This window comes from Homo sapiens, chromosome 11 (genome assembly GCF_000001405.40).
Source record: "Homo sapiens chromosome 11, GRCh38.p14 Primary Assembly".
In the NCBI taxonomy this organism is placed as follows: domain Eukaryota; kingdom Metazoa; phylum Chordata; class Mammalia; order Primates; family Hominidae; genus Homo; species Homo sapiens.
The window spans coordinates 2203608-2216882 of NC_000011.10; the positions used below are offsets into that span (position 1 = coordinate 2203608).

General features: G+C 60.6%; 3 annotated features.

Annotated features, from left to right (window-relative positions):
* Positions 1068-1666: an enhancer, noted in NCBI's record as "H3K4me1 hESC enhancer chr11:2225905-2226503 (GRCh37/hg19 assembly coordinates)". NCBI's record gives its function as "activates a minimal SCP1, AML or CMV promoter by ChIP-STARR-seq in naive H9 embryonic stem cells {active_cell/tissue: H9 hESC(naive)}" and the evidence as "EXISTENCE:reporter gene assay evidence [ECO:0000049][PMID:30033119]".
* Positions 8806-9376: an enhancer, noted in NCBI's record as "H3K4me1 hESC enhancer chr11:2233643-2234213 (GRCh37/hg19 assembly coordinates)". NCBI's record gives its function as "activates a minimal SCP1, AML or CMV promoter by ChIP-STARR-seq in naive and primed H9 embryonic stem cells {active_cell/tissue: H9 hESC(naive and primed)}" and the evidence as "EXISTENCE:reporter gene assay evidence [ECO:0000049][PMID:30033119]".
* Positions 11098-11658: an enhancer, noted in NCBI's record as "H3K27ac-H3K4me1 hESC enhancer chr11:2235935-2236495 (GRCh37/hg19 assembly coordinates)". NCBI's record gives its function as "activates a minimal SCP1, AML or CMV promoter by ChIP-STARR-seq in naive H9 embryonic stem cells {active_cell/tissue: H9 hESC(naive)}" and the evidence as "EXISTENCE:reporter gene assay evidence [ECO:0000049][PMID:30033119]".

The following is a 13275-nucleotide window of genomic DNA, read 5'->3' on the forward strand; positions in this document are numbered from 1 at the left end:
CTCAGGTTAGGGGGACTCTGGGATACAGACCCCTGCAAGCCCGTGGCCTCCTATTTCTCCCATCCCACCTCCCTCCCTCTGCCTGATGACTCCCGTGGGTGGGGCTTCTGCCTTCCCAAGCCCCTGTGCCTCAGTTTCCTTACCTAAAGAACAGGGTGCTAATGGAGACAAGGGAGACCAGGAGACAGCTCAGCCAGGGGCCAAACCAGCAGCTATTGCTATGGAGGTTCAGGGAGGTGAGGATGTTGGACCACAGGCTGGGAACTGGCCCTCCAGGGACCCCTGAGGAGAGCAGGCCTGGGATCCTGGGGCTGGGCTGGGGGAGCCGGTGGACTCCAGGGTGAACGCGGTGTTAGCCTGTGTCTGCTGGGACTGGGCCACAAGAGTTCCCAGCTTCAAAGGGCCAGGGGAGGCCTCGGGGCCCCGCCCACCTGTGAGTTCGGGGACATCAAAGGGCCCCACCCAAGGGGCGGCTGGCAGTCGGAGCAAGGGTAGAAACATCCAGAACTCTATCTCCAGAGGGAGCGGCTGGGGTCAGCCCCACCCCTGGGTCCACTGGAGGCCCCCTGCAGTGACCCGAGGCCCCTGCCTCACCCTGAGGTTCTGGCCAGGCCGGTGACACCCCACCTCTCTGGGTGAGGGCCTTGCTCCCAGGGGTGGCTGGGGAGTGGTGGGTGGGGCTTCTGGGGGCTGTGACACAACCGCACTCCACTTAATGATCACCCAGTTTTAACGGGGATCCAGGAGCTTCTGGGGGGTGCTGGGTGCTGGGTGACACCATGGCCCCCTCGTGCGTCCCTAGCCTGGCGGCAGGTGCTCTGGGCCCTCTCCCTGGGACTATCTGCCTGGACGGCATTTTCTGGCCCTTTTAACACCGGGGTCCCTAGCCCAGCCCTGGGCCTTTACGATCAGGAGGTGAGGAGGACCCCTCACCCCAAGGGAAGCCTCACCCTGATGGGACAGGCCTGGCCTCGGCTGAACTGCACAGAGGGGGGGCCCTTGAGAGCTCCCCTGCTACAGCCTAGGTGCCCCCTTCCACTGCCCTGGCAGTAGCAAAGGTCCACAGCATGGGTGGACATGCCTGATGGCAGCCCTACTGTGTGCCAGGTGCCAGGACGCAGCCTGACCCCAGGATCCGGTTCGCTCCTCTCCACAACCCTGGGCGGGGATCCTCTCCTAGGACCCTCCGGAGCCTGAGGGTCAGAAGGTGGTGACATCCAGTCACACGGAGAGGGACTTGGAGTGTCTGTACGGCACCATCCTGTCCCGCTGCCTAAAGGGAGCGCCTGCTTCAATTCCTGCCCCCAGGGCCGTAGGAGCAGGCCTTCCGGGACTCCGTTCCTAGGATCACCGATGGAATTCCTGGTGGGGGTGGGACTCTGCCCCTTCAAGGACTCTAGAGGATTCCATGACAGGGTGGGTTGGGCCTGAAGGGCAGGGGCCAAGTATGGGGGCCTCCCCACAGATGTGAAAGCAGAGGTTTCCCTACCTCCTGCCAGAGGGCAGGGAGCATAGCTGGATGCTGTGGCTGGGGGCAGGACTCCTGGCAGCCTTGTTCCCCAAGGCAGAGGGTGACAAATCACTAATTGGCCTCTGGGGCGGTGCTGCACCTGACCTGGGCTGTCTTCAGGGGCTAGTGATTCGCTGAAAAAAGCCCACATTCTGCCAAGGCTCAGCCTCCACACCTCCTCACATCCCAGCCAGCCATCCTCCCCACCTCCCTCCCTCCCAGCCTCCAGCCTCCCCACCTCCCTCCCTCCCAGCCTCCAGCCTCCCTACCTCCCAGCAGCCCAGCCTTCCAGCCTCCCCACTTCCCAGCCCCTCTGCCTTCCAACCTCCCTACTTCCCAGCCTTCCAGCCTCCCCACCTCCCAGGCTCCCCACCTCCCAGCCTGCCCACCTTCTACCTCCAAGCCTCCCCACCTCCCCACCTCTCAGCCTCCCCACCTCCCAGCCTCTCCACCTCCCTACTGCCCAGCCTCCAGCCTCCCTACCTCCCAACAGCCCAGTCTTCCAGCCTCCCCACTTCCTAGCCCCTCTGCCTTCCAACCTCCCCAACTCCCAGCCTCCCCACCTCCCAGCCTGCCCACCTTTCTACCTCCAAGCCTCCCCACCTCCCTACCTCTCAGCCTCCCCACCTCCCAGCCTCCCCACCTCCCTACCTCTCAGCCTCCCCACCTCCCAGCCTCCCCACCTCCCTACTTCCCAGCCTCCCTGCCTCCTTACCTCCCAGCCTCCCCACCTCCCTACCTCTCAGTCTCCCTACCTCCCAGCCTCCTCACCTCCCTACCTCTCAGCCTCCCCACCTCCCAGCATCCTCACTTCCCAGCCTGCCACCTTTCAGCCTCCCCACCTCCCTACCTCCCAGCCTCCCCATCTCCCTACTTCCCAGCCTCCCTGCCTCCCAGCCTCCTTACCTCCCTACCTCCCAGCCTCCCCATCTCCCTACTTCCCAGCCTCCCTACCTCCCAGCCTCCTCACCTCCCTACCTCCCAGCCTCCCCACGCCCCTACCTTCCAGCCTCCCCACCTCCCTACCTCTCAGCCTCCCCACCTCCCAGCCTGTCAGCCTCCCCACCTCCCAGCCTCCCCACCTCCCAGCCTCCTTTCCTCGTGTGAGTGTTGTGGAGGGACATTGGGAGAAGGGGCTTATCCGGGACACAATGCACTGATCCTAAGACATTTGTTTACACTTATTGTCTCTGAAAGCAGGTTTCATGTGAATGCTGCCAACAGCCAGGTTCATGACATGGTGGCCCCAGCTCAACACGGATGAACCTGACTGTATCACCTGGCAGTGACCCCTCTACACTTCCATCCCAAGCCTCAAGGGCCCATCTAGGGAAGGACAGTGAGTCTGGGGCGCCGTCCAGAGATCATTTGCTGGCACCTGCTGGTAAGATCTAGATACCGGCAGAGCAAGCAAAAGTTCCCGGGTCAATCGTGGAGGCCCCTCTTGGGGAACGGGTGTCCCCCAGCCCTGTACATGGCCCAAAGGAAGAGTGTATGAGGGACAGCCTCGGTGCAATGACTCTAGACAAAATTGACCCGGAGGAAGTGGACTCAAATGTGGGGACAGTAACCCTTACTTGCTGGTATTTTCTCTCTACGTGTGTATACAACAGTGATTTATGAAAATCCCTCCCTCAACCCATCAGGCAAGGTGCTTTCAATAAGCAAGAAACAAAACAAGGAAAACACTATTTCCTTGTTTAAGTTCCATTTCTTTTTTTTTTTTTTTTTTTTTTTTTGTGAGACAGAGTTTCATTCTTGTTGCCCAGGCCAGAGTGCAATGGTGCGATCTCGGCTCACTGCAACCTCCACCTCCTGAGTTCGAGTGATTCTCCTGCCTCAGCCTCCCCAGTAGCTGGGATTACAGGCGAGTGCCACCATGCCCAGCTAATTTTGTATTTTTAGTAGAGATGGGGTTTCTCCATGTTGGTCAGGCTGGTCTCATTTCTTTTCTCATCATGATGGCAAAATGATGGTAAAACTTGACATGGGCCTTAGATTTGAAGAACCAAGAGGGCGTCGAACAGCCACCCTATCTTGTGTACATTTTCCATTGTATTTCACTCTTGCAGCTGCCTTATAAGGTAGGGTCTACCGTGGTCCTGATTTTTCACATGAGAAAGCTGAGGCTGGGACTCAGGTCACACATGCAGGCAGATGTCCCTTATCAGAGTGTCCCTTCAGGGTCACCCACAGCTGCCCAACAGCAGTGACTACAGCCAGGAAGTCGTGGAACCATCGCCTCTCACAGTTCTGGAGTTGACGGGTCTTAGCTGGGCAGTGCTCACTCAGGGTGTCTCGTGGGCAGTCAGACGACAGCTGGAGTGGACGTCGGCTCAGAGCATCCTTGCTGGCAGGTCTGGTGGCTGGTGCTGACTTTGTCAGGTTCTGCCAGGGCCATTGGCTGCACATCTGCATGTGCCGCCTCGGTGGCACCTGGGCTTCCTCACAGCATGGCAGTCAGGCTCCAAGGGCAGCTGCCCGAGAGCTCCAGGAGGAAGCTGCGTGGCCTCTTATGATGTGGTCTGGGAGTTCCAGGGTGTCCCTTCTACTGTGGTTGTCAGCCTGCCCCAGTTGTAAGAGGTGGGAGAGGCCCCACATCTGCGTGTCCACACCATAATGGGGAAAGGGTACGCACCACCTTCTGAGAGAGTCATCTGCCACGGGGTGGCACAAGGTCATGGCATTTCACATGGTTGTCACCCAAAGAAAGCCCTCAGCCGTGGAGCCTTGCCCTCTCCAGAAGCGTCATAGGAGATGCCCCGTTACGTCTGCAGACAACCCGTGTGGGTTCACAGCCTCCATCAGCAGGTCAGTTGTTTGTTCCCTCTGAGGAGCAGGAGCAGGGGCCCAGGCACGCTCCCAGTGGGCACCGAACACCTGCTGCTGGGTGCCTGCCCCGCACGTAGGAGGGACACAGCGGTGAGCAGGCGCTGGTCCTCATGCGGCTGCCTGCTGGTGGAGGGAATGTCACGATCAGGGAAGAAGCAGATCTCACATAGAGATGTCAAACGCTGGCATCCAAGAAAAATCCAGCCGTGTGGCGGGAGCAGAGGGCTCCGTGAGGAGAGGCAGGTTCCTTGCTCTTCAGCCTCCCTGGGAAGCTGTGGGAGGAATGTCTGCACCGTGCAGAGGCCCTGAGGCAGGAGTGAGTGTGTCTGCAGCTGGTGGGCAGTGAGTGGGGAAAGGTGCAGGCCAGGCCAGAAGGGCGGCCTCTGAGAAGGGGAGCCTGATGAGGACAGCCCACGCCCTGGCTTGACCCCGGGCAGCTGCTCTCAGCAGTGCCTGCAGAATCCATGAAAATGCTGATCCCAGGCCCTACCTGTGACTCACAGTCTGCGGCCAGGCCTGGGATGTGCATTTTGCAGGAATATTCTCAGAGCTCCAGAGCTGGCAGACCAGGGTGAGCCCATGGCCTAGAAAACCAGAAGGACCGGGAGGCATTCCTCAAAGGCAGGAAGGTTTGGAATATCAGAGAAGAGGGGGATGTCCTGGTGCCCCCTGGCCTGCTGGGCACAGGCTCACATAGCCTGGGCTTCCCTGGTGTTCCAGGCAGCTGAGGAGTTTGAGGTCTGAGTGCCCTGGGGTAGAGCGGGATGGCAAGCCAGGTGCCAAGCAGAAAACGGGGTCACTCCCCCGCTGCCTGTGAGCAGCCCTGAGAAGAAGCTGGCAGCTGTCCACACCTCACGCCAAGGCTGGCTGGCCCCATGTTCCAGAAATCACCCGTCCCAGGCTGCCTCGCTCGCCGCGCTTCTCAGCCTGTCCACCTGGAGTGCTGGAGGCTGTGCCCAGTCCTGGTCCGGCATGGCCTGGCCCTTTTTCTTCCTGGTAGGGAGCTCAGCGGCTGGCCAATGGGCAGCAGAGGGGGCAGCAGACAGCCAGGGCACAAGGAGGCGGCGGCAGGGCAGGCCCAGGCCAGTGGAGGCAGAAGCCGCAAGCTGGGAGCGGAGAGGATGGCGGAGTCTGGCAAGCACCCAACAGGTGGCAGAGACAGAGCCTGGCCCGGTGGACAGTGCAGGTGGGGGGGCACCAGTGTAGACGGGCAGGGCGGCCAAATGAGAGGAGCCCAGACACACACAGAGGCAGACAGGGCCACGCTGCAAAGGCTGGAGACACTGCCAGCTCAGGACTGGGCACGGAGCGGGGCAAGGTGACCACCCTGTCAGAGCAGGGCAGGGGCCCTACTCAGGAGATGGAGAGAAGGCGAAGGGCTGGGGGACCCCCTCTGGCCCCAGGCATGGCCGGCCCCTTGCCTCATGGCCAGGCTGATGCCTTCCCAGCCCAGGCTGGGCGGGGGCCGAGCATGAATGTGGCCCCATGGCCAAGGGTAAGGCAGAGTCAGGGCCCCAGGTCACCCACCCCACAGCCACTCGGCCTTCTCTCAGGTCCCCAGACTGCCTCCTCACCCCCTGTCGGCCCACAGGCCTGGACCTCCCTCCTGCCTGCCCTCCTCCCTGCCCTGGCTGCCCACGCTCCTCTCCAGGGATCAAGTCCGCCCCAGCCACCCTGGCCCTGCTTCCCAGGGGGTGGGCTCCAGCCTTGGCACTTGCACACCTGAGGACCACGCACTCACTCCCTCCTGAGCCCATTCTGACAGGGAAAGTCCCGTAACAGGGTCCAAGCCTAGGACTTCCGCCCAGCCTGCCTGGCTCCCGCTCTGTGGACACCCGAGACCAGGGTCTCTTGTCTGTCCTGCCTGAGGTCCCTCTGTCTCATCTCCAAGACCCCAGAGGCCCCTGGAGGAGGTTTCTCAGGAGCAGAGAATGAGTATTAGTGGTAGCTATGAAGGGGTCCTAGGCCCGGCCGCCCAAACCCACTCCTCCCCAGGCAGATCTTCAGCCAGTGGCTAGGGCAGCAGGAGAGCCACTCTCACCAGCCCTCTGGCCACTGTGGCCTCTGCCCAGCTCTAACAGCCCACCCTGCTCCGCAGCTGTGCCCTTGCGTCCTGTCACAGGGGACCCCGGCGGGAAGGGCAGGGCCTGAGCCGGTCTGCGCTACCCATGGAGGTTGGCCTCGTTCTTCTTGCTGTGGTCCAGCCCCTCTGGAGCCCATGGGCCCACCTCCCAGGCCCCGTCCTGCGGGGACTCCCACCTTGGATGTGGACAGGACCTCCTGGCTCACTTCTAACCAATAGGATGAGGCAGAAGTGACAACATTGCTTCCAAGCTTAGGTCACAAAAGGACGTGGTTTTTGCCTGCTTTCATTTGATGATCTTGAAGGAGTCTGCCCTGCCCACAAGGGCTTGGCCGGGCAGCAAGGACTGCGCTCCATCTGTCTGTCCAGTCCCTCCCTGCGTGTCCCTGAGGTAGCTCCTGGAGGACAGTGGCTGGCACCTTGTCAGGGTCCACACCTGGTTGATGCAAGAAGGCACAGGTGAGCCCAGTCCACGCAGCTCCACACGGGTCAGAACCGGGCTGTCTGCTGGGCAGGCAGGTGCATCCACCTGTGTCCAATCACATTTGGAAAGTGGAAAGGGAAATGGTGGCCTGCAAAAGGCATTGGTGCCCCTCAGACCCCAGGGCCGAGGTCCCTGGGCAGCCCGGCCCACAGACCCATCACCCTGCACTGCCAGCCGAGGCTGCTGGCCCTGGGCTCAGTACTCTGGCCATGGCTGGGCTCATGTCGAGACCTCCCTTCCCCTGACTTCCATGCTCAGGGCTCCTTCGTGCAGGTCCAGGGATGTGGTGGAGGCCCGAGGTACAGGGACAAGGTTGCAGGCAGCGCTGGTGGGGCAAGTGCCAGGGCCCAGGCCGTTTCATGCAAAGACACCCACTGGAGAACGGAGGCCCTAGGTGCAGGCCCTGGCATGACCCTTTCCTTCACTGGAGGAGGACTCATGTTAAAAAGGACCTGCCAAGGGGACATAGACAGAGGAGCTGTAGATAAAAAGCTCCTGAGCCAACCAGGTTCCAGGCAGCCCAGGAGCCAAGGGGTGGGGGGAGCAGGATGCCCTGGGGACACACTGCCCTGTGCAGCCCGGCCTCTGTGCCTGGGCAAACAGCAAAGCCTCAGTGAGCGGGCTGCAGGCAAGGGAGGCCCCATGGCCCAGGGAGGTTTATGGCCTCCCAGCAGAGCACCCGGCCCCAGCAGCTGGCCTGGCCCCTGCACCTGTCCCTTTGTTTGCACAAATCCCGTCCCTAATAGTCTTAATCGCAAAGCTTTGATGACTGTGCCAGACCCTGCACAGGCCCCTGCGGACTGCGCTGAACAAACACGCCATTGTCTCCGGGTGCACCGCAGGCGACCAGTTAATGGTTAAACCAAGGGGAGAAGGATGGCAGCTCTGCCTGAGGCCAGGGTGGGGGAGCTGCCTGGCGTGGTGTGGGCACCAGCTCCCCCCACCCCACAAGGGCACAGTCGTCCTACACTGGGGCTCCCAGTGGGCAGAGAGAGCACACGGCTTCTCCCCTGTTTTAGAACTAGCCTCCCAGCAACCCTGGAGCCGGGAGACAAGTCCAGAGGAAGCTGCTGGAGTCCCCAGCAAGACACCTGCCCCGACCCCTCCACACCAGGCAGGCGCCCAGGCTGTGGGAGCTGCTCAGACGCTTGAGAGCCGGCCACTCTCTGTGTACTCCAGACCCACGGGCCAGGAGTGGGCATGCAGTTAGAGCCCCGTGAGCAAGCCTCACACAGCTGTGGGACGTCAGCAGCACAGCTGCCATGGGAAATGCCCTGGCCGGTCCACGCAGGCCGGTTACCCCCAGCACTACCGTGTGACCAGCAATCCCACCCCAGGTCTATCCCCAGAAGTGAAAGCAGGGACTCAGGCAGACACGTGCACACCCATGTTCCCGGCAGCATCACTCACCAGAGGCAACAGGTGGAAACGACCCCGGCATGCACCAACCACGAAAACGACGAGCCCAGGCCGGGCATGGTGTCTCACGCCTATAATCCCAGCACTTTGGGAGGCCGAGGCGGGTGGATCACGAGGTCAGGAGATCGAGACCATCCTGGCTAACACGGTGAAACCCCGTCTCTACTAAAAATACAAAAAATTAGCCAGGCGCGATGGCAGGCGCCTGTAGTCCCAGCTACTGGGGAGGCTGAGGCAGGAGAATGGCGTGAACCCGGGAGGCGGAGCTTGCAGTGAGCAGAGATCGCACCACTGCACTCTAGCCTGGGCGACAGAGTGACACTCCGTCTCAAAAAAAAAAAAAAGACGAGCCCACTGTGGTCTGCCTGTACAATGGAACATTATTGGGCCATGCGAGGAATGATGGACAGATGCAGGCTGCAGCATGGACAGGCCTCACCAACGCCACATTCGGTGGAAGAGGCCGGGCACACAACGCCGCGTGGTGATGGACTCCCTTTATATGAAATGTCCAGAATAGGCAAATCCATAGGGACAAAAATAGATGGGTGGCCGCCCAGGGAGGGGGGTGGTGGAGACGGGGAGTGACCGCTCAGTGACAGGGTTTCCGCCTGGGGGATGCACGTGCTCCAGAGCTAGACCGAGGTGAGGGTCGCACAGCACTGAGATCGTGCTGGATACGCTGGATTGTGCACTGAAAATAGCTAATTCTGGGTATGTGAACTTCACCTCCTTTTAAAAATGACAGCCCACTGAGACAGACACACAAACAGTGGGTCCCTGAGTGTGGGAAACCAAGACGGGCTGGGGCCGAGGCCAGGCCACAGACCCCAGTCGGGCGGCCTGGCTCACTCCCAGCTCTGCCTGGGGCTGGCCACGGCCTTGATCTGTGCCTTGATCTCCAGGTTTGTGGCCCTGAGCCTCCCGTGGCACCATCCCAGCTCCTGTTGAGCATGGCCCTCCCTGGGAGCCACTGTGGCCACACACACACTCCTCCGAGCACGTTTGTCCAGTCCATCCACTCTTTCTCACAATGTCCTGAAGACCTGCTAGGCAGCAGAAGCTGGCCCTGCTGGGGGAACGCAGGAGTGGGCAGGCTGCCCTGGCTCCTGCTAGCATGGAGCACACAGCCCCAGGGGCAACAGGCAAACCCCAGGAGACCCCCACCTGCAGCCTGGAGAGGGGTGCAGGCAGGGCATGCAGCAGGGGCCAGCCCCATCCCAACCTCCTCCAGCCCCTCCGGCCAACTGGCCTGCAGGCTATGCCGGGTGCCCTCATTGGCCTCTGGGCTTTTTCTGTTTTGTAACTGGTAGCCTTTTTTTTTTTTTTTTTTTTTTTTTTAAAGAACACACTTTAAGGTTTATAGAAAATGGAGCAGAAAGTACAGAAAGTTCCCTGATGCTCTACCCCCTGCCCAGCCCTCCCCCATGCCTGCAGTCTCCCCGTTACTGGCCTCTTGCATCGCTGTGGCCAGGAACCCATTGGACATTTTTTAAAGTCGCATACTTTTTATTGGGGCAAAAAACACATCACATCAATGTACTGTCCTAAATGTACACTGTTTTTCAATGCACAGTTCAGGGGCATTAGGGACACTCACACTGGTGTGCAGCCCTCACTGCCATCCATCTCCGGAACCCTTTCATCTTCCCGAGATGAGACTCTGTCCCCATTCAAAGCAAACTCCCCACCCCTCCCCCAGCCCCTGACACCCACTGTTCTACTTCCCGTCTCTGCGGATTTGATGACTGTAGGAGCCTCATGTGAGTGGCAGCACACAGCGTCCGTCCTTCCGTGTTTGGCTTTTCCCGCTGAGCCCCTGCCTCAGGTCCACCCCGTGACAGCGTGGGTCCGGATCCCCCACCGTATGAGAAGATCGCACTTTGCTTATCCACGCTGATGCTTTTTAAAAAACATTTCTGTTTATGTAATTGACAAATAACAATGCATATATTTATCCTGCACTACACGTTGTTTTGAAATACATCAATACTTAATTATTATGCAAAGGCCATAGTTTACATGAGGCTTGGAGCTCGGTGTTATAAGTTCTATGGGTTTGGACTAATACTACCCTGTATCCACTGTTACAGCACCCCATAGAGGGGTTCCACGGCCCCGAAATCCTCCATGCTCCACCTGTTTGTTCCTCCTGCCTCCCTAACCCCTGGCAGCCGCTGACGTTTGTCTTCATGGTTTTGCTGTTTCCAGAATGTCCTAAGGGTAGAACCCTACAGGATCCTACAATCCTTTGCAGCCTGGCCTCTTCCACATGTCGAGTTAGCGGTTTCTCCCTGTCTTTTTGTGGCCTGTAACTCATTTCTTCCACGGGCTTCTAGACAGGCTCAGTTCTCTCCCATCTTAAATACTCATCCCTTGAGTCCACAGACTGCCACACAGCTCGTGCCAACCTCTTTACTTCACATTAAATGTCTGGAAAGAGAGAAGGCCTGTCCACTCCCTTTCCCTGTCACCTCATGCCACCTCTCTTCTAACCACAGTCCAGGTCAGTCAGCTCCCGCACTGCCAAGGGGCCCAGTGCTTTGGCCTCCAGCCCTGGAGACCTCCTCCTGCCTTCCCAGCCCCTCATCTGTTTCTTCCCCGCTCTGCTGCTCCTCCCCAGGTCCTTGCGGGACGGCCTCTTCCACTGGGTCCGGAGCTGCTCCAGACGGCCTCCTCTCATCTTCCTGCCACAGTTGCCGGCTACACGCAGGCCACAGTCCGTCTCCCGCTAGGCCGCCTCCCTCTCCCCTGTGCTCCAACCCAGAAGCCAGCTGCCCTCTGTCACTCTCAGACGACAGACGGCAGCACGGGTCCAGCTGCCCCAGGCCCGAGCCCCGGGGCTCCTCACCGCCTGGGCCTCCTCGCCAGGCCGGACCTTGATGCTGGGTACTACTGCCCTGCCACCTGCCCTGCCACCTGCCCCGCTGGCAGCTGCTCCTTCCTGCCCCCACATTCTGTCCTTCAGACACGCCATCGGGAGGGCAGTGACATCTCCGTGGTCTCCCTTTACCCTCCTGCTCTGCCACTCTGCCTCTGCTCATCCTCCTCTGGGGAGTCAGCCTGACCTCTGCAAACATGGGCATCAGTGGGCACGTCTCCGTGCTTAGAGGCCCCCAGGGCTATCCGTCGGCCTTTGGTAAAGTCACAGGCAGAACCCACACAGAGCCTTTGTGCTAGGACTAGGCCGGCCCACCTGCCTCCCCAGGCTTTGGGTGGTGCCCACCCACCCCAGCCTCTGCAGGTCCATGCCTGACTAGCCGCAGGGCCTTTGCACACCTGCATTTTGCCCAAATTAACTCTACTGGACCCTCTCCTGTGAGGAAGGCTCCGCAGCCTCCCCAGCCAGGCCACACACCCCAGTCCTCGTTCAGGGGTACACATTTGTCCCCTTCATACACAAGCCAGGCTCCACTCTGGGCACTGGGTCACAGCCAGGAGCAAAACAGACCCAGTCCTAGAACCCGCAAAGCATCCACCCTGGGGGAAAGGAAGCAGAGATCAGAGGTGTCACTGAGCACACAGAAGCTCGAGGTGCTAAATTCCATGGAATGGAAGCCAGGAGTAGCCAGAGGGAGCACGGGTGCTGGGGGGTAGGTGAGGGTGACTGAGACAGCCACTGGGGGGTACGTGAGGGAGGACCGGGACGGGCGCTGAGGGGTAGGTGACGGGGGACCGGGACGGGTGCTGGAGGGTACATGAGGGAGGACTGGGACAGGCGCTGCGGGGGTAGGTGAGAGGGGACCCGGAAGGCCGCTGGGGAGTAGGTGAAGGGGACTGGGACGGGTGCTGGGGGGGTAGGTGAGGGGGGACCGGGACGGGCGCTGGGGGATAGGGGAAGGGGGACCAGGACGGCCACTGTGGGGTAGGTGAGGGGGGACCGGGAGCAAGTCCCAGACAAGTGAGTTTTCAGAAGCCCGCGAGGCCCTCAAGTGGACAGGCCAAGTGTGTGACCAGGGCTTGGGGAGACGTGAGGGTGAGGTAGCTGTCTGCAGAGGGTGCAGGAGAGCAGCCACCCAGGAGGCCCACCTGGGGCCCTCAGTGTCAGAGGCCGCGGAGCCTGGCTTCTGCTTGCCCCCACTGCCCCGGGCCTTCTCCTGCCCTGACCCACAAGCCCTGTGGGGGTCCCTGCCCGGCCCAGATCCCCCCACTATATCCCAGTGTGTCCAGTAGGTGCTCAGTCAGTGCCAGCAGACTGGATGGATGCAGCTGGACCAAGAGGCACTCCGGACAGACCCCCAGAGGAGCTGAGGATGGGGCCTCCCTGCGGGATGCACTGGGCGCACCGGATGCTCAGGGTGGTCTCACCATCGTGCCCCCTTCACAGAGAGGACCCTGAGCCTGGGATGCGCAGGTCCTCACCTGAGGAAAGTAGGCACCAGCCAGGTGTAACCTGGGCCAGATGGGCAGCCCCGAGGGCCGCGCCCCACCTCTCAGGCCCCGCTCACAGCCAGGCCCCAGGGCTGCTCCCAGGCCCCTGGGAGAGCAGGGTGCCGTGGGCGGTCAGCAATGGGTGCAGGGTCTCCTGAGGTCAGGAGGGAGCTCAGAGCTGCTTCTTCCCTTCTCCTTTCTCAGCTGCCTATCACCCCACCCTCTAAACAGCAGGGAGCCCGGCATAGACACACTTGTGGCTACCCCACCCTCACACCCTCAGAAATCCTCAGGGAGACAGGTCGTACACCGCCCATCCTTGCAATGGGCTCCCTGCCCCCTTTCTCCTGGAGGGCACCAGGCACACACAGGTACACACACAAACACGCAAGGCACACACACAGACACGCACAGACATGCACAGCCACACACAGATAAACACAAACACACACAGCTATGCACAGCACACACAGCCACACAGCCACAAAGACACACACAGACACACAGCCACAAAGACACACACGGACACGCACAGACACACAGCCACACAGACACACACAGACACACAGACACACA